A 24207-nucleotide genomic window follows, 5' to 3' on the forward strand; every position below is an offset into this window, starting at 1 on the left:
TTTTGAAACTCTGGCATTATTGTTAATTTTATTATGTTTATGTCTATATTTCTCTCCTATTTTTCATATATTTATCTTTTTGTTTTACTCTGTGGAAGATAGTCTCCATTCTGAATGCTTTTTTTAAAGAAAAATGGCATCCTATCATTTTATGAATGCAAAACCTCTCATTTCTGTGAGTTTGTTTGTTTTGTTTTGTTTACATTTTCTTTCTCTACAATGTGTTTCCTCTGATTGTTCCTTTCTTTATTTCCCTCTATTTATTTTTTTTTCTTAATGGTAGAAGCTTTCTTAAGTGGTGAGGATTCTTGCCTACCCACACATATTCAAGAATGAGTCAGCTATAGAAGCTGTGTATGCACCTAAAGTATGTCAACTGGGAGGCTTCCCTGTGGAGAGTTAGGCAGGGGTCTGGCCTTTTCTGGGTTACCTTAAGTATCACTAATTGAAGGTACTTTTTGCTTGTCTGATCAGTTCTCCAGAAAGGATGCTCCAATCTCCTGGCTAGGGTGTAAGCCTGGGTACTGACATAGTGGGAGCCAAGCTGGGGAAGCGGGCTGGGAGCCCTAGCATTTGGTATTGAGCCAGTCACATCATCTCCCCATTTTTAACATAGTGACTCTAGCCTCCACGGTGTCCTGATCCCCAAACCCAGAGTCCCTCTGGTTTGCTTTCTCCAGAGAGTAATCATCTGATCTTCTACCTGAGTAAAGGAAGCAGAGTTCCCTGGCTGGCTGGGCTTAGGAGGAATCTGCCAGTCTCAGCACACCTTATTCAGATTTTCAAGTAATCTTCCATTTTACAGCTCAATAGGCAACTCAACTTTCAGCTTCACCTGATCTCCACTTTCTGAGCCTTCTTCGAACTCTGTGGCATGAATCAACTTTCTCCACCCTCCATTCTGTTAACAACATCACTGATCTATCCACTTTCTATCTTGCAAAATTATGTTGGATGTCTGTCATCTCTACCATTTTCTCTCCTGTTCTCTTTGCCATTGTGGTTTTAACCTTTTTCCCTCTCTACCATCATTTTATTGGGGTTTTAGTAGTAGGTGGGGCTATAAATACATATGATCAATTTGCCATATTTAACTAGATATTTTGTTGATTTTCATACACTTGTGAAATTACGATACCCGCCATTTGCATTTCAACTCATCACTATAGACATCATTACCATGTTCTCTGGAAGAATCTGGGAAGCCGGATGCCAACCAGGATCCCTACAATTCAATCATCAGAATCTCAAACATCACCACCCATCAGAAAACTTTAATTTCATAAAAATTGAAAAACGTCTTGCTAACAGTTTTTTTAAAGCAATGGAATATAGTGTATGTTTCAAGATAGCTAGAAGAGAAGATTTTGAGTATTGTAAGAAATGATAAATGTTTAAAGTGATAGATATGGTAATCAAATTACCTCAGTTTGTTTGATTATTACACTATGAAAATATGCATTGAAGCACCACGTTGTACCCCACACATATGTACAATTACTATATATTCATTAGAAAGAAAAAAATTTTAATGATAATTTTAATATTAAAAAAACCTCAACACCCAAAACTGTATTTTGACACCTATTTCATTGGCTTAAATAGTCTGTAAAATGAAGTAAGTACATAAACTATAAGATTTTAAAAATAGGAGGTATTTACATTTTATAGCATTTTAAAATTAAGCAACTTTGCTGCAATGGCCTAAATGTAATGGAGAGAACCAGAGTGTGGATAGAATATTCAAAGCAACCTAAATGCATGGAGTAACAATACCTCTAGCGGGGGATTTACAGTGTTTGCTATTGGCAACTGGAGTCCGATATACTTAGCAAGGATAAATGAGGGGGCCTGGCACAGTGGCTCACGCCTGTAATCCCAGCACTTTGTGAGGCCGAGGGTGGGCAGATCACTTGAGGTCAGGAGTTTGAGACCAGCTTGGCCATCATGGCGAAACTCCGTCTCTATTAACAATACAAAAATTAGCCAGGCATGGTGGTGCATGCCTGTAATCTCAGCTACTTGGGAGGCTGAGGCAGGAGAATCGCTTAAACCTGGGAAGTGGAGGTTGCAGTGAGCTGAGATCGCACTACTACACTCCAGCCTGGGCAACAGAGTGAGACTCTGTCTCAGGAAAAAAAAAAAAAAAAAGAAAGAATAAATGAGGGAGGGAATGGGAGGTGAAAATTTCTTCTGTATACATTTTCCAGGATCATCCCTTTTTGCTTTGTTGGGTTGTACGCCGCCAGTGAGATATTCTGTCTTTGCTACACACATGAAAGTGGAATTACTGTGTGCGATCTGCAGGTCATGCAATCCTTTTTGCAAAACAAAATTTTTTCAACTTGAAAAATTCTAAGTATGCCTTGTAATCTTTCCCCAAACACTATACACAGGAAAAAAAGTCGGGGGCAGGGGGGCTCCTTTCAGTCCTGTCTAAGTGTATGGTAGTGGGCTAGGGCTAGTGACTCTCAAATAAATAAACCAATCTGTTAGCACTGTTTTAGATACGTAATTGCAACTCCACCTTACCTACCATCTTAGAAGGCTTCTTGGTGGATGGATGACACTAACTGTACAATGGCACAACCATCTTTGTAAGGCTGAACTCTGCAGTGACATGGAACCTGTTGGCCTCAATCGCCTGCCTAGGCAAAGCCCCCTTCCTCACCAGTCCTGCCTAGCTCCCTGCTGACCTTCCATCTCCAGGCACCATCTCATGCCCACCCCATCATCCTGGCCAGGAGGACAGATATTCCATGGCTTATTAATTCCATTTCCATTTTAAGTCTTACCTGCTGCTCATTAAGCTTTCTCTGTATTTCTTCCGAGTTACAGGAATCGTAGACTATTGGCTTGGCCAGCTCTGACTCGATGTGAGCGAGCCAGGTCCTCAGGCTGCTCATGTTCTTATCAAGCTGCTGCACGGCTACCAGGGTCTCCTTCAGCTTCTTCACCCTGTGGGCAGAGAAGGGGGAATGTCCCACTTCAGCGAGAGGCCCACTCATGTTTCTCTAGCGTGCAGAGGAGAACACTGGGCTTTAACAATCTTTTTAGGCAGAGTTAGAAACTCATGTGGAAGAAGCCAAAGACAGAAGACAAAGGAGGATAGAAATTAGAGATGAATACAGACAAAGGAGCAAGGATGCAGAGGAGGCAGGGGTCCAGGGCACAGGAGCAGAGATAGATAAATTAGTTTTGAACACAGTTTTCCCAGTGTGAGCAAGGTGTGATCAGAAGTTTGGGAAGAACCACAGGTAGTATTTCTCAACTCCATTACTACCTACTTACAGCAAAAATCAATTATTGACTCCCTGTTAAGAGCCTGACATGGCTGAGTGTACACAGATTGCTCTAAAGAGAAAGGTCATGGTGATAATAAGCATATGATCAATGATCTATTAGTGCCCTTATTTAAAAATTGCTGCTACCTTTAGACTATGAGTCTCGCCTTTTGGTTCAGGAAATATGGCCACCTAATTGGCACTGCTCATAACAGAGGTAAACAGCAGATGAGCAAAATACTTCAAGCTGCTAGGGTGTCATCTTGGCTCAACTGAAGAGGTATCTATCTTCTTGAAAATATGTCAAGAGCAACATGACTTGTAAGACTCTAGGTTTGTGATACATTTAAAGGCAGGGATCTGCAATAGAATGTTCTCAAAGATTGACAACTTATACACTTAGAGTCATCAGATATTCGCGCCCCCTCCCCCACCCCCACATTACTTCCAGGCATTTAAAGAAGTGATTCTCAAGCTGGGATTGTCACACAGTCAGTGGAGGGTGCTTTCAAACCACAGGTGCCAACTACCAGCCACCACCGCCAGGTGGTTCTGATACGTTTCTCTGATCAAGACACACTGTTCCGAAGAAAATGTCTCATAATCAAAGTATTTTGAACATTTGATTTATTTTTAGTTGCTTAAAATTGTTATCATCACTTCTGTTCCAGTTTCAATAAATCAATGTGTCTCTCTCAAGTGAAAATGTAGTCATTTGACAACATGATCGCTTTTCCTTTTTGTCATTTTTCCTCAAAGCACTGTCATATAAATGCTCTTAAAGGATTTTCACTATGGTCAGCTGTTAATAATATCTATATTTTAATAATTGTAATTAATAATTCTTCTATTTGAATAACATTTTCAGTTTGTAAAAACCCTCAGGAACATTACCTTTTATTGTTTTAAAAAATGTGTATTTAAAAAATTATGTTCATATTTCACAATATATTCTTTTGGTAGAAAATGAAAATATGTTACAATGTTTATTGTGACTTACAATTCCACTCGAGATAAGATTTCCCCAATTAGCTTTATAAATACAAATTGTACCCTGTCCCCCAGACACTTCAAGGCATTGGCCTTGAACACTATTTCCAAGAACTTTTACATACAACTCACTCACATTTCTCTCATGGCTAAGACAAAATTCATCTGGGCATCAGTCAGTGAATGACAGTTTTATTATGGCTACTGGGTACAAAGCTCATGGAGTGCATTTGATCGACCACAGCATGGACATGGAATTTTACATGGCTCTGGCCATAGTGCCCCAGACTGAAAGAAGAGTTTACCATCAATAAACCCACTGGAAGAGGCCTGAAGAATGGCACACAGCACAGAGAGGTCCGTCCTGCTTTTACATCTGTAGGAATGTCTTCTCAGCAGCCTCTCCTGCATGACTTCAGATTTCGTAGGATCTGAACACTTACTAGGCTTGGGGATGGTAATGTCATCAGGGTTTTACTAGAGGTTGGAGTGCTTGTTTTCTCCCTTCCTTATTTTAGTTCCCTGGTATTATTCATGCATTAATTGGTCTCCTCCATGGTAACTTCCTTGGAAAGCTGGAAATGTGAATTTCTATATTTGGCTATTTCCCTACCCCGGCCATGCTAAACTCAGTGCTTTGCACTAAACTGGGTACTGTTTAAGTGGTTGCTAAACATTAATAATGAATATTCTAAGCGAATTGTGTTTATTTAATTAACATGTTTTCATTTTAAAATTTTTATTTGATATTAAGTGTGTATTAAGTTTTACTTCTAGATTCAACATTTGCCAGTGCTCTATTTGTCAAGTACTAAAATTCATTCGTTTTTTTGGTTCAAAACTCACAAATATGATCAAAAGATCCAAAGCACAAAAGGATGCAAGTAAACACTGTTCCATAGGACCGTCTACATTAGAAAAATAAATTACAGGATAGCTTTTGTAATATCGAATGAGTTCCAAGTCAGAGTGGTTAGTATGCAATATGTCAAGGGCATCATGACATGGAAATGTGTGTTCATATAGTCCATTAGGGACAAGTTCCTCTTTCAAGCAAATGTGTAAATTTAGTAAAGTCGACGGGGGTGAACATTTAAGCAGTTCTTTTTCATTTTTTTAAAAATTGTGTTTTTACTACAAATAGCAAAATACAGTGTGCATGTGTGCTGGGGGAGCAGAGGTGAGCCTGTAGGGCATGGGTAGTAGGATTAATAAGCCTTGGCTTATTAAACTTGACATTTATTTGCAGGACAGGGATCATTCTTTTTTTTAGGAGAAATGTCCCATGTTTCTTTCCATTATTTCTTTAAAGATAATTTTTGGGTGAAGCGTCACAGTATTTTTATTTATCTATCATCGTGAGAAGTCTGAGCAACATTACTTTTGGTAAGCATCCAGGATTATCATTCAAATTAGATACTTGCAGACGTCACATGTCTGGGTAAGTTTAGCAGCTTGATAAATCTGTAAGTCCCTGCAGCTTATGGTTCTTTCACAGTCCAGTGTGTATCACAGGCACTTGACCTTTCTTGAAAAGGATTCTACTATGAAATCCAAATGTCCAGCTTCTTAACACTGAAACACGTATATACAAACACACATAAATATGTATATACGTACTTACACATATATGCTTATATATCTATATATATTGTATCTATATTTCACCACTTTCCTTCAAAGTAATTTAGTATATCCATAACCCAAAACAAAACAAAAAGTCCAAATTCTAAATATAATAGAACAAAAATTACCATTGGGTAAATCCTATTCATTTGTAGAAATTTATCTGAGGGATGATACAGTAAAGAAAAACATATTAAAAAAATTCCTGTCATATTTTTATTCTAACTGAAAAAAATCATGAACTAAACATTTGCATAATGCACTAAATTACTATTTTAGACATTAATTTGTACACTTTGCACATATATTTTATAAGCTTCATATTAGGGACTAAAACTTACTGACAAGCACAAACAAAAGCAACTTTCTCAAACACACAGCATTTTCTAGAGCCCTGAAATAGTTTTATTTCATGAAAGGAAAGCTTTCAACTACAAAGCTGTGAACCAGCTAAGGCTAAATTTCAGTTTCATCAGAAGCCCATCCTTTAAATAGCAGATGATGGACTAACTGAGTCTTTTTCTGGATCGCTTTCCTGTGTCTCAGCCTCTCTACTCTAGCCATACTCCTTGTATGACGCATACGGTCCAGAGACAACTGGAATACAGAGTCATAATAAAGTCCATTAACCTTTTTGTCCAGCTCTGCATGCCCAGTAGAGGTACTAGAAAACAAACCAACGAATAACTCTTGGGAGTCCACATGGCCAGCTATCTCCCAACACCAATCCTCTTCATGTAACATTGGCAAAAACAGTTCTGGATTAAGGCTTCCAGCGTCTATCCTACAAACCCCACGTAACATGAAAGCTATGTACAATGGAAGAAACTCAAGAAGATGCCTGCCTTGTGACATCGCAGTTACAATCTGGGAGATCTGCATCCACACAGCTGTCCTCTGCCATCCTCAGGGCACTCAGGTCCTCCGCCACCACCATGAAGCTTCCACTTGCAAAAGTTAGACTCTGCAGAGCAAAAAGCTATATCCTGCGTGGGGATGAAAGTTTCCCCTTGTCTGTGTATAGAAGTATGAAAATGCTCACTGTAGACAAATGTTGGTAGTCTCTGCCCGATAACATGACACTGGGCAGTGACAAGTGGTCATGTTTCTAAATAAAACCTACATTCATTAACATGTGCCAGGCTTGATCTCCTGGAATGTAGGCCACGAGTGTAAGAAGGGGAAAAAGCTCAGTGTAATCTGTAAGGAGGAGGAAGCTACAGGTCTAAAGAAAGGACAGCAAAAACAACATCGGCTGCACACACTCTGCTGTTCTGTAAGGACAGTCAACTTTTCTTGCGGGCAGTTTGTTATGCTGGGAAAGCTATTTAAAGAAAACAAATCATCCCACTGCAAACAAACAAAATGTCCACAAACACAGCAAATGGTAGTAGCAAAAGGAGTAACTTCCTTCTTTTTTGGGTTCAGTATGCCAGCTCGGTAGTGTATGCAAGAGTTTTAGGGGTTGTTTGCGAAGGTGGGAAAGTACATGCTCTTTATCTTTGAGTAGACTATTTGGGGAGGAAAAATAAGGAAGAAATATTATTCTCCCTTACATATGCAAAACTTTTGTCCTTTAAAAATAATCATGTAGATGACAAAAATAACATTTTCATTTTAAGACAATTAAAAAAATAACTATATTCATTTGCTCAGGGGGTCTTCAGGTAACTCTTTTTCTTTTGTGAATTTCAAGAGTTTCCAAACTTTCTGCACTAAGCAGATGATAATTTAATAATTTATACTTTTAAAGAAAATAAGTCCCCAAATTATTAATTCCTATAATTCAATAAAATATGATTAATGCTGGATGCTTTACATCCTTTAGGGGATTAAAAACTACACACAAATAAATAATAAATATTAAATAAATAATGAAAATTTGCTAAGTTCTTTCCAAAAAGGACTACATGATGATTTGTAACTAAAATAAAACAAAGCATCTGGTTCTGGTCATGTGAGTTGACTGTTTTTAAAACAGAACACTACAGGAAACACATTTTCTTAATAAAAGAAATACATTGGTGGCTCACGCCTGTAATCCCAGCACTTTGGGAGGCTGAGGTTGGTGGATCACAAGGTCAGGAGATCAAGACCATCCTGGCTAACACTGTGAAACCCTGTCTCTACTAAAAATACAAAAAATTAGCTGGGCGTGGTGGCGGGCACCTGTAGTCCCAGCTACTCGGGAGGCTGAGGCAGGAGAATGGCGTGAACCTGGGAGGCAGAGCTTGCAGTGAGCTGAGATGGCGCCACTGCACTCCAGCCTGGGTGACAGAGCGAGACTCCATCTCAAAAAAAAAAAAAAAAAAAAAGGAAATACACCTGCCAGCCTGGGTTACAAAGTGACACCTCATCTCAAAAAAAAAAAAAAAAAAAAATCAAAAGATTATCCAGGCACAGTGGCATGCATCTGTAGTCCCAGGTAATGAAGTGGGAGGAAGACTGCTTGAGCCCAGGAGGCTGAGGCTGCAGTGAGCCATTACTGCACCAGTGCACTACAGCCTGGGTGACAGCGCAAACCCAATCTCAAAAAAAAAAATAAAAAATTAAAGAAAACTGCATTTTATATAAGAAATAAATTCTAGAAAACATAGTACTTAAAGATATTGTACTGTGAATTCTTTTATAAAACAATCATTCTTCTTATATTAATGTATTTTTAGTAATCAGAAATGAAAATATTTTAAACTTTGATTAAAGAAATATATTGGTTATGAATCTACCACTATAGGCAACTTTGTTTTTTTCTTGATTATGACTAACATTTTAAAAAACCTGAAGTCTTCAAAACATTTTATTGTCATAATTTCCTTAGTTTAATTTCTTTTACCTTATTTAGTTTACCTCATGGAGTTAAAAAATTTGAAATTTTTTTCATGCTTATTATTGTTAGCATAATATATGTATTCCAATGAACTAAATATGAGACAAGGCAAAGCTCTAAAGATACAATTATTCAAAGAGCAAAAATGGCAATGTTCATTGATACAGAAAATCCTAGATAAGTTGTGGTATATTTATACTATGGAATACTCTGCAGGTTTCTAAAAGAATGAGACTGGCATAGACATTGTTTTATAGTAAACACAGTCCTTTCCCTTGCATTTTCTCATTGGAGATGTGGCAGTTAGTTTCATTAACACTTTGAAAATGAGCAACTTGAGGCTCAGAGAAGTTACTCAGTAAGACCTGGGCCACACAGCAGGAACCAGGTGGACTAAACTCAGGCCTCTTGATTAGTTCTGTGCTGTTTCTGTGCTCATCGCATCAATGCATTCCTGATCCTTACCAGGCACCTTCCGACTCAAACACCCTTAGGTAATACCAGCCGTGAATTCCAAGAATTTCATTTCCTTTGACCTCCAACGTGGGTAGAACACCCTTTAAACTGAAAGTCCTCCTGAGGGCAGCTGCTAGGAACTTCACAAAGCCTTGCTTGCACTGCATATGTGTTTTACCTCCACAGCCTTTGAACTCCCTCTGGGATGAGAGCTGACCTCTATTGAACATATTCTATGCTTAGCGGTTGATATGGTTTAGCTGTGTCACTACCCAAATCTCATCTTGACTTGTAGCTCCCACAATTCCTATGCGTTGTGGAAGGGACCCGATGGGAGATAATTGAGTCATGGGGGTGGTTTCCCCCAGACTGTTCTTGTGGTAGCGAATAAATCTCATGAGATCTGATGATTTTATAAGGGGTTTCCCCTTTTGCCTGGCTTTCATTCTCTCCTGTCTGCCACCATGTAAGATGTGCCTTTCGCCTTCCACCATAATTGTGAGGCCTCCCCAGCCATGTGGAACTGTGAGTCCATTAAACATGTTTTTCTTTATAAATCACCCAGTCTCGAGTTGTCTTTATCAGCAGCATGAAAATGGACTAATACAGTGGTAAACCACTAATCATTCTTCTGAGCTAGCTACTATTATGATTCTCATTTTATACATGTGGTAACCGAGGTGCTGAGAAGATAAGCAAGTTGGTGAAGCAGAATCACGCTATGACTCAGGCAGCTGAAGCCCGAAGCCAATGCTTTGCTTTGTGTATGCTTTCATTTGTGTGCGTACGTTTTCCACCCTATGGTTTAGATTTGAGAAACTCAGCAAATACGGGAGTGACTGCTATGTGCAAAGAACAAGGTCAGGGGCTGGGACTACTATGGTGATCAAGGTTAGATACACTTACATTTTAGCAGAGAAAACAGGCTTAAAATGACTGATCACACAAGATTTCACATAGTTCAGGGAAATGCTATGAAGGAGAAGCCTACTGAGCCCGTAAGAAGAATCTGATCTAATCTGGAGAGAAGGAAAAACAGGAAGAACCAATCAGGAGCTGGCCAGGCCAGGGGCAGGCAGGAGAATGCCCAGGAAGAGAGAATAGAAAGGAAGAGGCCCTGCAGTGAGGAACGCTTGTGTACTTGCATTATGACACTTATTTGGTTAGGGACCATTTTCTTTCTCATCTTTATATCCCTAGAGCAGGCCACCTGTTTTGGTAAACAAAATTTTGTGGGAGCACTGCCATGGTTTTCTATTTACAGATTTTTCTATGGCTGCTTTCACTCTATAATAACACGCTAATAGCAACAGAGACTATTTGGCCCACAAAACTAAAAATATTTACTATCTGGTCCTCTACAGAAAACATTTGCCAACCTCTGCCCTATAGCAAGAAGCATAGTACTTCATATATAGTAGGCGTTCAATCATTTTAAAAAATTACTTGTTTTTACTCTACTTCTACAAAATGTTGAGGCAATTATAATAAATATAGAGATTAAAAACAACCAGTCACAAAAGGCCACATATTATATGACCTATGTATATGAACTATTCAGAACAGGTAAACATGTAGAAACAGAAAGTAGATTAGTAGTTTCCCAGGGCTGGGAGAAGTGGGGAAGGAAGAGGAGGGAAGAAAAGAGTGACGGCTAATGGGTAACTGTTTTTATTTGGGACTGACGAAAGTGTTTTAAAATTGATTGGAGTAATAGATGCATAGCTTTATAAATATACTAAAATCACTGAATTACATGCTTTAGATAGATGAGTTATACGGCATGTGGATTATATCCCCAAAAAAGCTGCTATTGAGAAAAACAAAAAGATAACAGCCAAATAACTAAAGGATGCTTTTGCCTTGGTGATGGGGATTTAGGTTTAGCCGAGAGAAAAAGAATTTTCTCTATTAGAAGGTCCAGTTACCCACTTCCCTGCCCCCAAATCATCACAACAGAGTGCGCAAGTTGAATTTGACCTTCCTAGATGCTAAGATGAGAAATGTTACTAATTCGTTGTCTGTGATAAGAAACATTGAAGAATTAATACTAAAAAGACAGATTTCCTTTTAGTCCTGAGCTCTAGAGAAATTGCTATGTGGATTTTCTGCACTGGATTCATTGACAAAACGAGAGCCAGTATTCTTAAAGGCAGTTTTACAGAAATTAGAGTGATGCGTCACCAATGACAGCTTCTTATGTTGACTTTTAAAAAAAGCCAAGGGCTCAGAGGTACTTTAATTATCTAGGCCACTGCTGAACAACAGAACTTTCTGAGATGATAAAAATGTTCTGCATTGTACAGGGTCCAATAAGGTAGCCACTAGCCTCATGGGGTTATTGACCACTTAAAATGTGGCCAGTGCAACTGACCATAATTAAAATTAAGGAGTAATTTAATTTTATTCCATTTCAGTTAATTTAAATATTCTGTAATTTAAATAGCCATCCGTAGCTAGTGACTGCTGTATTACATACAGCAGATCTAGAAAGTATGGAAAGGACACTAGAACATTATTCACTGAGTCCTAAAAGTAACTGAGCAACTTTTGTTGCCCTAAAAAATTGACAATGCTTGACAACACAATTTAAAAACTCAATGCAAAGCACATCTATTTTGTACTCAGAGTAATCTAAACTAATCTGATGGTGATGTCAAGTTGACTCTAAATTATGCGTTCTATTTTTATGTATGTAATAGATTTGTTATCAGTAAATCTTTTTCTTTTCTTTTTTGTTGCTTCTGTGATTGAATATTAAAGACACAGTTCATGTTTCTATTAGCTGAGATGTTCACCTAAAAATACTATCATCTTCAAAAATAACCTCTCCATTCCCACAAGAGCACCAATACAGGACAGAAATGTCGAAAGGCATACACTGGGTTATATTTTGCTTTAGTGCATCAGCGCTGGAAGAGGCAAGAGTGGTGAATGGACTGAATCATAGAAACCTAATACTTCAGCTGGCAGTTCACAGTTGAGGATGGGTGTGGGAAACATGCATCCAATCTGTGCACTAACGAAGCACCAATAAACAAGGAAATGCAATGCAGATGTGACAGCCGGGTGTCTTTCAGGAGAAGCTGCAAGGGTGACTGTGACTCTAACATGGTGTTAAACTCCAGGATGGCTCAATGATCAGTGCCTAATCTAGTCTAATTTGGAAGGAGGCAATTAGAAACAGGCAACATATATACAAAAATCTCCTGTGGAATTTTATCTGGGTATTCTGAGGCTTTATGTAAGAGGAAACAAAAATTAGTATTGTATAAGTGACTATAGTGAGAAGCATGTGTACCTTATAAACATGTAATTGATTCAAGTTTATTAATATGTCTTTTGGCAAAGTAAACAATTAATATCTAGAAAACTCTCCACTGAACAGCCAGACAAAATATGTTATAAATAAATGTGAATTCAAGGAGACAGCAGCAAACTCATTTGCTGTAATATTGGCTCATAGTTGGGCATACACTAAGTTAGCTGCTTATGACTAGATTACATTAAATCTGATTTAAAATATCTTTGACATAGTGCATCCTTACTCTCCACATCACTGAGTCACTAAAAGTAGGAAAATAATATTAACTAGTTTAACTGGATTACGTGGAAATGTCAATCAATCTATGAGTCAAATTTGACCAAAAAACTCCCCGGGGGATGTTTACCAAACAGGCAGTTTCCCTAAGAAGGATATTTATAGCTTGAAGGACTTCAATTCCTCCTTCTGAAACAGGATTTTGTTATCATTTTAGTGAGGGAGAAGTGGGACTGAACACAGCACTGGGATTTTAAAATATACATTTGTTGAAACTCCGAGACCAGTTTAAGCTAAAATATTATTTCCATCTCTTTATAGTGCCTTTTCCAGAGCTCCTATTTATCTCATTGTTTTACTCCATTCCCATCCTGAACTTCTCAAAGGAGAAGTTCTCCTTCAGTTCTGTCATTTTATCTTGACTCTCACAGTCACTGTCACATTGTAAGTACTTTACAAAGAACTGAGAAATTAGATTGTCGAGATCAAAAACAGAACTTATCTTCCATTTAACTGTCTTCTCTCTAACAGGGAAAAGGAAGTCACAAACTTGAGAGGCAGGAGGGCACAGCACTCCAGGACACGCGCTTTGGAGTCTGAGCACAGGCTGTGCCACACAATGTGTGCGTGATGATGGACAAGCCTCAACCTTAGCCCCTGTATCTGTAAAATGGGCATAATGATAAGGCCACCTCAAAGGACATTATGAACAATACACAAAAAGATGCCTATGAAACCCGTAGCATGGTCATTGGAATCAGCAAAGTGTTCAATAAATGTTAGCTATATCAGTGCTATGGTTAAACATTTAAAAAGCTGAGGCTGGGTGCGGTGGCTCACACCTGTAACCCCAGCACTTCGGGAGGCCGAGGCGGGTGGCTCACCTGAGGTCAGGAGTTTGAGACTAGCCTGGCAAACATGGTGAAACCCCATCTCTACTAAAAATACAAAAATTAGCCAGGTGTGGTAGTGTATGCCTGTAGTCCCAGGGATTGGGAGGCTGAGGCAGGAGAATTGCTTGAACCTGGGAGGCAGAGGTTGCAGAGCTGAGATTGTGCCACTGTACTCCAGCCTGGGCAACAGAGCAAGACTCCATCTCAAATATAAATAAATAAATATAAATAAATAAAAAGTTGATATACATTTATTCCATTTTGTTTCATTGTCACTAAAAGATAATCTCACTTTCTTGAGTTAGATACTTTTTGATAACTCTCTTATAGAAAAGAAATATATCCAATGTTTTCAAAATCAGCATACAGGGTTGTGGTGCCCACATGCGGTTTTGATGAGCACATGGTACGCAGAGGACATTGTTTCACGTCCACTTTTATGCAGCACGGCTAAGGAAAGAAACCCAGATTTTAAAAGCGTATTGTGGGATGGACCCCAAATGGCACCATTTGTAACATTCCAACTCTCCTAATTGCCATGAAGAACATTTACTCAAATATTCAAATATTCATTTATGCACTGAAGTATTCATTGAGTCCGTATTTAGGCACTGTTCTTAGTGCTTGTGATATGTAGTGAATACAATGGAGAAAGTTTCCTGACCTCAGGGTGCCTAAGTTCCAACATGAAGCCAAATTCACCTAAAATAAGACATCTCCTTTTTATATTAATAGCATAGAACATTTTTATAACATAGTGCATCATTCATATTAGACTTTTATATTGCTAGTAAATACCCTCATATATTTTTCTTTTTGACTTTCATCTCTCTTACCCAACCCTACCCTTCTGCAACAGAAAGTGAATGTAATATTCTTCTTAGGTATGAGGCAAACACTTATAGTTAGCACTAAAGCTCAACACAAAATTACTATAATGCAGCAGCTGATTTTTACAACTGAGCAGAGTGGCAATAATCAGATTTATTTCTATACCTTGCTAACTAAAAATATGGCAGAGATTTAGTAATTTTTTTTTTTTTTTTTTGCTACTGCAGACAAAAACACTCTCCACAAATACTGGTCAGCAGTTTCTTCCTGATAGGAGTTTGAATACCCATGAAGCCCTAAAATAAAGAATTTTCTCTTGGGAATTAGTTTTGTTTGGATATGACTCTCTCTCTCTTTCTCGCAGCTACATACAAACAACATGAGATTTATAAAGTAAGAGGAGAATTTTCAAGGTAACTAAAGTGCCACTTATGAGAGGAGCATGAACAGTTTTGAAAATGGTGAGATAACCCAGGAAGAGAGACTGATTTATTGGATTATCTTTGGCTGATGAAAGGCAGACTGAAAGGCTTTAAAATACTGCCCACACGTGCCCTATTGACTCAGGTCCTCTTTACCTGGCTGCAATGAGGTCCAGGAGATGCTGCCACCGGTCGTTGACCTTTCCCAGCTTGTATTCAATCTCAGATGCTTTGCTTTCATGGCTGGCTTTAGCAAGTCGTTCTCCCATTTGTTGGAGCTGTATTTTGTTCTCTTGAGCAATAGCAATTTCCTCTTGATAATCCTGTGTAATAAATAGCAATCACAGAGGTCAGAAAGCATATTCTTAATACATCCAGCCCAGCTCTACTAGAAACATGATGATTACTGCTTTCTACTGCTTGGAAGTAGTTTGAGCATAGGAATACCATGTGGATATCAGCCCATGTGCACAAGTATTAGTAGTGCCTATTATTTTTGGTATGTATGCAGAGTTGGGATTAAATTTTTATATAGAGGTTCTCGAAATAAATAGGATGCTGCTTCCTATTTACTTGAAATACATATTAAAAAACAATAAAAGATAGATATAAAAAATAAAACTTAAAAGATTTTAATATTGGAAAATTATAGTTTATTTCTCTCATCACTAACCTGATGTTATACTTAGAATAAATTCTCAGACAAATAGTTGCTGAGAGACTTATAAAATGCACACACACATATATATATGCAATTGATATATAGGTATATATATAAATGTGAATGTGTGTGTCAATTATGTTATTTGTGAGGAATATTTTAAAAGAGTTCCTTCATTTTAAAGAGATAATCCTCTATACAATGTCAATATTTTGCAGTAAATAAATCAATGATAAATTAACTTTCAATAATAATAACTATTAACTATAGAGAATCGACAGGCCTCAAACCTTCTTAATTTACTCACTTTCTGTGCTAGCTTCTCTTAGATTGTTTGAGTTAAAGAGGACAGACTCCATATGGACTATTTGCAAGAGATAAGCACGAAATGGTGTGATTTAACTGACGATGAAAGGACAATCCCCTCCCCCTGACTGCCACTGCTATCCCCAATGACCCTCTTACTCTCTTGCCACAGTGACAGGATCCAGTCTTTAGGATCAACTTTTTTATTTTTGGCTTAAGCTCCTGTTACGTAATAAATAGTTTCTCAGCAAAATAATATATGAAGACGGGTATTATATGAGTGTGAACATTTTAACCTTCTCTTGGTCTAAAGTTAGTGTGGTAACAGAGCTATCCTCCCAAGTCATTTACCTAAGCCAAAGGGCCCCAGGGGAATGGTAGGGACCAACAAAACTTTATTCCATTCCAGGGCTGACTGCTGTCCTCATACCTGCAGCCCCACCCACCCTCCTTTTTATGTTATTTCAACACAATGGGATTCAAAGACCAATACGTTGAATGTATTTATTAACATTATAATATTTCAGCAAACATTTGAGATGATTTTATTGAGAAGTGTTTCTTTCAAGGGAATTACTTTAAGACTTAAAAAGTATTTATAATAAAATAATCCTCTTGGATTGTCTTTAAAATCAAACTGTTTTTGAGTGTTAATACCAACAGACACTAATATCTTGGCTTCAATTTTTTTTATGAATGGCCTTTTTCTTTTTCCTTCATCTTATTAGCACTTCCCAGTTGACAACTGCCTTTTTCTATGTTGCCAAAATTACCAAACCTTGATGTTATTTTCCTTTACAAAAGAGACGCCACAAAGAGGAAAACTCAAAAGCCCTTTAAAAAAAAACCCATGAGTTATTAATATACGAGGTAGTATAGTTAACATTTTAAATAATATTCCTAACATTGTGCCAAACAATGTAATAAAATTATCTATATGAAAAGCTGAAATTTTTCTAAATTTTAAGTTCTGGTTATAGATTGTTCAAGAGATGGTTTTTTTCCCCACACTCTCACAATATACATCCTAAATTTAGTAAAAAAAAAGCAATGAGAATAGAGACAAACTTAATCAAAATTTATTCTATAGCAAATTTTACTCTACTACCTATAGTGCATGAATCACGCACTGACAGCATTCTCTGACACCCAGCAACTTAGCAAAGGGCAACCGTGAGCAGATGCTAAAATGAAATCTGTATCATCTCAGCCAAGAGTTTTAAGTTTTACAATATCAAGTAAACAAATGCTTATCCATTTGGATTTATCCAATGGATAAGCAAATTGGATACATAAAGGCTTATCTAATGGCAAATCCATTAGATTTGTAACATCATTAATAGTACATGTTGGCTTTGGATGTTTTAATTTTCTATGTGTGCATATGGATAGAAATAATTTTTCCTAATAACCATTTATATTTCTTTTCAGAATAAATGCAGTAAATACTGGCTGAGTGCTTATGAGAAGTTAGGCACTGTTTCAGGTGCAGGGGATATAGCAATAAACAAAATTAGACAAAGCCCATGCTCCTGGAAAGCTGACAGATCAGTGGGGTCTCCATTTGGACAATGAATAAGTAAATACAAAAAATACATTGTACATTAGATGGTGATATGTACTAATGAGAAGCACAAATTAAAATAACATTAAAATCACTGATTGTTCACAAGCACTGTGGAAACAACACTGAAATCACCCAATTCTTTTTTTTTTTTTTTTTTTTTGAGACAGAGTGTCACTCTGTCACCCAGGCTGGAGTGCAGTGGCACAATCTCGGCTCACTGCAACCTCCATCTCCTGGGTTCAAGTGATTCTCTTGCCTCGGCCTCCTGAGTAGCCAGGACTACAGGCATGTGCCACCATGCCTGGCTAATATTTTGTATTTTTAGTAGAGATGGGGTTTCACTGTGTTGGCCAGGCTGGTCTCAAAATCCTGGCCTCTGGTGATCTGCCTGTCTCACTTCCCAAAGTGCTGGGATTACAGGCGTGAGCCACCGCACCCGGCCGAAATCATCAAAAATTTTAAAATGCTAGCAAATTTGATCAGCTTTATATAGACATCAGAAATGTTTTGGATCCAAATGAATATGTAAAATAATTTGATAAGATATACATACCTTTAAAATAATATGAAGCCAAAATTATCAGGAAACTCTTAATTCCTATCTGTGGTCTATAAATCATATTTTAGAGAGAAAATGTCAATTCAATTTATCTTAAGAATGTTTTCTTTCAGTTTCTCTCTAGTGGCTTTACCTTTTTAAAACAAAAAAAAATACACAAAAAACAAAAAAAAAAGGAAAGAAAAATAATACATATAAAGGGTTCCTACTGAACAGGTAATTAAGACCCCCAAATACTGAACTGAATAGTAGATGCTCTATTTCATCACAAATTGCAAGTATTCTATATATTTTATGTGTAAAGCAGGCCTTTTTATGCAAGTTTATTTTATGCTGGATATCCTTTTTTTTTTTTTTTTTTTTTTTTTTTTTTGAGACAGAGTCTCGTTCTGTCACCAGGCTGGAGTGCAGTGGCACGATCTCGGCTCACTGCAATCTCCGCCTTCTGGGTTCAAGTGATTCCCCTGCCTCAGCCTCTAGAGTAGCTGGTACTACAGGCGCGCACCACCACGCCAGGCTAATGTTTTGTATTTTAGTAGAGACAGGGTTTCACCATGTTGGCCAGGATGGTCTTGATCTCCTGACCTCATGATCTGCCCACCTCAGCCTCCCAAAGTGCTGGGATTACAGGCGTGAGCCACTGCGCCCAGCTGCAAGTTTATTTTATATTAAAAAGATAAAATGTTTAAAATATACTGCTCCTTTGACAGGAAAGTAATTGTGAGTAAAGCCACCTTCTGTACCTGTGAAAAGTACACATAAGCCTTATGAAGAATGAAAACCTAAGTAGCCATGCATTCCATACCTTCTTGAGCTTCTCTATCATTTCTTCAATGAGAATGTCTCCATTCTGAGAAACTTTGCTTTCCATTTGAGTCAACCACTCACAGAGTTCCTTGTTCTTTTCACTGAAGACTGCCCATTCATTCAATCTTTCACCTATTTGCTGCCGCCTTAAGGAGAGCTGAAAAGTTTAAAATGGGAGAATAGGCAAAATGATTATCAGAGAGAAGACCACACTCCAAGGAAAATAGCAAATAAACTAGGACTAAAATGAATGATAGTCATACATCTTTTTAGCCCACTGTTTCCTGAAGTCTAGGATTTGCTATTATAAAGTGGGAGACATTGAATCCTCTAGTTCTTTCCTGAAGATTCACATACACATTAGCTTATTAAAGGTTCTGGATAATGCAACTTCACACAATTGGTTCAGGATAGATAGGATACATGACCAGTGAATGTAAAAAAGAAAGAAGAAATGGAAAAGAGTAGGGAAAGAAGAAAGGAAAGAAGGGAAGTAAAAGGAAAGAGAGATGGTAAAGAAGGGAGGAAAAAAAAGGAAAGAAAGAAAAAAGGAATAGAAAGATGAAAGAAAAGAGTAAAAATAGGGAAGGAAGAAGAAAAGGAAGAAAAGAAGGGATGGAAGAATGAGCCTCAGGTATCTAGAGAGTGAGGAAGCGGGCAGCATCCAAGCGAAGCGGCCTGAAATGGAGGCAGGTGCCCCAAGGCTCAGCTCCATACTGACACGTGGACTCCAGGCAAGTTCCTCTACTTCTCTGCAGTTTTCATTTTTATTTATTTAATTTTGTTTCTTTTCCTTCTTTTTTTTTCGCATGACAGATTTATTAAGATGTATTTCACATATGATACAATCACCTGTTTAAAAATGTACAGTTCAGTGCTTTTGGGTATATTCACAGCATTTGTGAATCACCACCATCATCAATTTTAGGATATTTTTATCATTCCAAAAAAAAAAAAAAAGCCAGGTGCAGTGGCTCACGTCTGTAATCCTAACACTTTGGGAGGCCAAGGCGGGCAGAATCCTAACACTTTGGGAGGCCAAGGCGGACAGATCACTAGAGGTCAGGAGTTCGAAACCTGCGTGGCCAACATGGTGAAACCCCATCTCTATTAAAAATACAAAAATTAGCCAGGTATGGTGGCGCACACCTGTAATCCCAGCTACTTGGGAAGTTGAGGCAGGAGAGTCGCTTGGGCCCAGGAGGCAGAGGTTGCAGTGAGCCGAGATTGTGTCACTGTGTTCCAGCCTGGGTGACAGAGCAAGACTCCACCTCAAACAACAATGACCACCACCACAACAATGAAAACCTTGTAGCCATCAGCAGTTACTCTACTGCTCCTCCTCACTTACCTCCCAGTTCTAATCTCCCTTCTGTCCCTGTGGATTTGCCTATTCTGGACATTTCATATACATGGAATCATACAATATGTAGTCTTCTATGACTGGCTTCTTTCACTTAGCATATTTTAAAGATTCACCTATATTGTAGCATGTATCAATACTTCATTCCCTTTATTGCTGACTATATTCCATTGTATGAATATACCACATTGCATTTATCAACTCATCTTATTTGGGTTGTTTCCATTTTTTTGCCTATTCTGAATAATGCTGTTATAAACATTTGTGCACAAGTGTTTGTATGAACACATGTTTTCATTTCTCCTAGGTGTTTATCTAGGAGTAGAATGTCTTGGTCATATGGTAACACTATAGATTGTTTTCCAAAGTGGCTGCCCATTTCACATTCCCACCAGTAGTAGGATTCCAATTTCTCTACATCTTCACCAACACTTGATTACAGCCATCCTAATGGATGTGAAGTGGTATCTGATGATGGTTTTGATTTGCATTTCCCTAAAGGCTAACAATACTGAGACTCTTCATGTTTCTTAGCCATTTGTATATCTCCTTTGGAGAATTATCTACTCAAATCCGTTGCCTGCTTTTTAATTAGATTGCCTTTTTATTACTGAGTTCTGAGAGTTTCTTATACATTATATATATACAATGGGCTTGTTTTCCTATCTCTAGGTCTAGAATTATCCTTTCCAGAATTCTAAAATTTTCTGATTTCAAAATATAATACTCTTGTGTTCATAGTGCTGGTTGAAATACTAAGGAATGTTTCTAGTTGAGTTAAACTACACGTTGGCAAAACATAATATGATTTGGTAAGAAGGTCTGAAGACGTTCTTCCACAGTCTTGTTCATAATGCTAGCTATTCCACTATTCATTCCACTGCATTAAACATATCCCTATTGATTTTATTTTACCCCCAACATTTTATTACAAAACATTTCCGACACAGAAAAGCTGAAGGAATTGGATGGTAAGCACTCATTACATACTCCCTGGGCTCAAACTGTTAACATTTTGCTATATTTTGTTTTAAGACATTTTCCTTCCTTAATACATTTACTTTTTATGTATTTCAAACAAATTTCCTTTTTAAAATGAAAATGAAAATATTTCTAAGGTATTATACACTTTCTAGTTATCAATTCTGTCTTGGATTTGCTCTGTTAATGATTAGACAGATAACACAAAACTAAATATCTGTGATTCTACATCCTTGTACACTAGTCCAGGAGCCCAGGATACGTATCCCAAGGCCAGCCTTAGGCATAGTGAGTTGCCTAGAGAGTGAGCCCCATAACCTACCATAAATTTTGAAAGGCCACCATGAGAAATTTATTCTTTTGATTCAATTATGATCTTTTAAAGTAAAAGTTTTTCTGGGTTGGGTGACACTGGTGAACCTACTAAGTATTTCCCCATTAGTATAATTTAGTTTCTCATTGAGGTTTTTGGAGGCAGAATAATACAGAACAGTCAAAGGGCAGTGAACTTGGGGTAGGGCCTACTAGAAATGGAAAAAGCTAAGGAAACAGAGATTTAAAAGTTTTGGGGACAAATTTTGTCACTTTACACCATACCCCAAATAGCACTGAAGAACATAATCCTTCCAGGACCCCTTACCCCTCTAGCTCTGAGAGCCGCGTGCACTCTGATCTTCTGCTGATCTCTCAGATTGAGAACTCTCTGGTGAATACGGCCTTTTCCCTTTCATTCACAGAGCAGCAAGAGTCAGGAGTCTGGCTGGTAGTTAAAATCCCGGTTCAATTGATGGCCAAACTGAAACTATACTCTTATTATTTGGACTGCCCAAAATAATCATTGTCTATGAATCGAAGCTGGGCCTGGTGGCACATGCCTGTAATCCCAGCACTTTGGGAGGCCGAGGTGGGCAGAGTTCAAGACCAGCCGGGCCAACATAGTGAAACCCCACCTCTACTAAAAAAACAAAAATTAGCCAGGCGTGGTGGCAGCCATCTGTAATCTCAGCTACTCGGGAGGCTGAGGCAGGAGAATCGCTTGAGCCCGGGAGGCGGAAGATGCAGTGAGCCAAGATCACACCACTGCACTACAGCCTGGGCAACAGAGTGAGAAGAAAAAAAAAGAAAAAGAATCGAAACTCCTGCCCTTCAGACTGAAGATGAACAAGTAACTCCTTACACTGCCCCCGAATCTTGGCCATAAGCCAAGAATGAACTCTAGGCCTTTACTCACCAATATCTGCAGGGAGGATGGTCCCAAAATAGAAAAATATTACCTATTACTTTCATAGGTAAGTATTATTATCCCCATTCCAGAGACAAGGAATATGAAAGTTGGACAAATTTGGGGCACTTGTTTAGAATCAGTACAAGATAAGACCAGCAAAGTTTGAGTCTTTGACATGGGGTGCAAATATGATTAAATATCCAGAGGCAGCTGATATTCAAAAATAGTTCATCCATCACTGACTAACTGCATGATCAGGACAAGGTCCCTCATTTTCTCTACGACTTACTCCTTTCATTTGGAAATTATTCTTATGTTTGCTCCAAAAATTCATTAAACAAATGTTTATTGTCTGTAGTAAACAAGTGTCTCTATGTGCCCAGCACTGTCCTATCAATATGGTAATATTAGAGAAATAAGAGAGTAATTTAAGAAATTGACTGATATGGCCAGGCGCACTGGCTCACGCCTATTATCCCAGCACTTTCGGAGACTGAAGCAGGTGGATCACTTGAGGTCAGGAGTTTGAGACCAGCCTGGCCAACATGGTGAAACCACATCACTATTAAAAGAATACAAAATTAGCAGGGCATGGTGGCAGGTGCCTGTAATCCCAGCTACTTGGGAGGCTGAGGCAGTAGAACTGCTTGAACCCAGGAGGCACAGGTTGCAGTGAGCCAAGATCGCACCACTGCACTCCAGCCTGGGCAACAAGGGTGAAACTCTGTTTCAAAAAAAAAAAAAAAAAAAGAAAGAAATTGACTGATATATATTAAAGACCTGACAACAGCTGGCCATTACTATGCTGTTGCTACTAGTACTATTATACATGACTACAGGGCATCACTTAAGTTTTAAATTTTTTTTCCTCCCTTGACACTCATGTATTCCATATCTCCACTAAGCAGCTGGATTATACACATATATAGATAGATAGATAGATAGATAGATAGATAGATAGATAGATAGATAAAATATATATTAAATCCCTTGTGTTTATCACACACCATGAAAATGTTGCTTTCATTTTCTTACCACGGAGCTACACCTTAAAAAAGACACAGTGAGGCTACAAGCACTGGGTGCAAACCCAGGCCAAACGCTTTTCAAAAGATAAGGGCAATGGCATCTTCCTTCTGGTTTGTACATCTAGTATTTAGTCTATATACTAAGTAAACATTACCATCTCTTTCTTTGGATTCAGATGAACCCTCAAATTATTTATCAGCTTAGCACCTATTTATGTTTTTGCAAGGGCACAAATACATTGCATTGCCAACAGCTGAGAAGCACCAGCTAAAACCTTCAGAGTGTGCAGCAGCTCAACAGGAAATACATCCTTTTCTGGTTGAAATATTTTTACCATGATGTTTTGACAAAACAACGAGCAATTACGATGATGACATATACTTATATTTCAGCTAGAATTACACACAAATCTACAAACCAAAACAGAATAAAAACAAGTATAAGCTCTGGCTGTACACAGGCACAACAAAACATTTGGGCTGTCTACTTGAAAACAGATACTTTAATATATTAACTCTGCCCTGCAATGTTTACTCACGGCCTCTATTCCGCATTCTCATCGCCAGTCCCAGGTACTCCAGACTCCTCATCAACTGCTTTGGTCAGAATAGGAACAGACTACTTGCTCCTTAGTAGGGATAATGTTATGTTGAACTCAAGTTTTGACTTTTACAATGAGACATGGGCACAAGCTCATTTCCTTTTGTGGTTTCATACTTGACAGAAATTCACCAGAAACAACTAACTCAAGAACGAGAAACTAATCTATATCCTCCTTAGAGTTACATCCTGGCACCTTGATCAAACCCATGACTAAACTCTCATTGGTTTAAATATTA

The 24207-nt window shown here is 38.1% G+C and overlaps 1 protein-coding gene across 50 annotated transcripts in view, besides 1 other annotated feature; it reads right to left on the bottom strand.

Moving 5' to 3' along the window:
* Positions 1–24207, bottom strand: part of SYNE1 (spectrin repeat containing nuclear envelope protein 1) — a 515676-nt gene that overhangs the window by 39681 nt on the left and 451788 nt on the right. For 48 of the 50 annotated variants that reach the window (XM_047418508.1, XM_017010610.2, XM_017010609.2 and 45 more), the window contains 3 exons: positions 18769–18927; positions 15027–15193; positions 2796–2958 (listed from right to left, as the gene is read on the bottom strand). In XM_047418508.1, coding sequence (XP_047274464.1) covers positions 2796–2958; positions 15027–15193; positions 18769–18927 — 489 coding nt within the window. Of the gene's footprint in view, positions 1–2795; positions 2959–6745; positions 6946–15026; positions 15194–18768; positions 18928–23906; positions 24045–24207 lie in introns of those variants that run through there. The other 2 variants (NM_001347701.2, NM_001347702.2) reach the window with 2 other exon arrangements.
* Positions 9754–9954: a silencer, noted in NCBI's record as "peak6220 fragment used in MPRA reporter construct". NCBI's record gives its function as "represses an SCP1 promoter by STARR-seq MPRAs in K562 erythroleukemia cells {active_cell/tissue: K562}" and the evidence as "EXISTENCE:reporter gene assay evidence [ECO:0000049][PMID:32103011]".

The sequence above is a fragment of the Homo sapiens genome, chromosome 6 (genome assembly GCF_000001405.40).
Source record: "Homo sapiens chromosome 6, GRCh38.p14 Primary Assembly".
NCBI classification, from domain to species: Eukaryota; Metazoa; Chordata; class Mammalia; order Primates; family Hominidae; genus Homo; species Homo sapiens.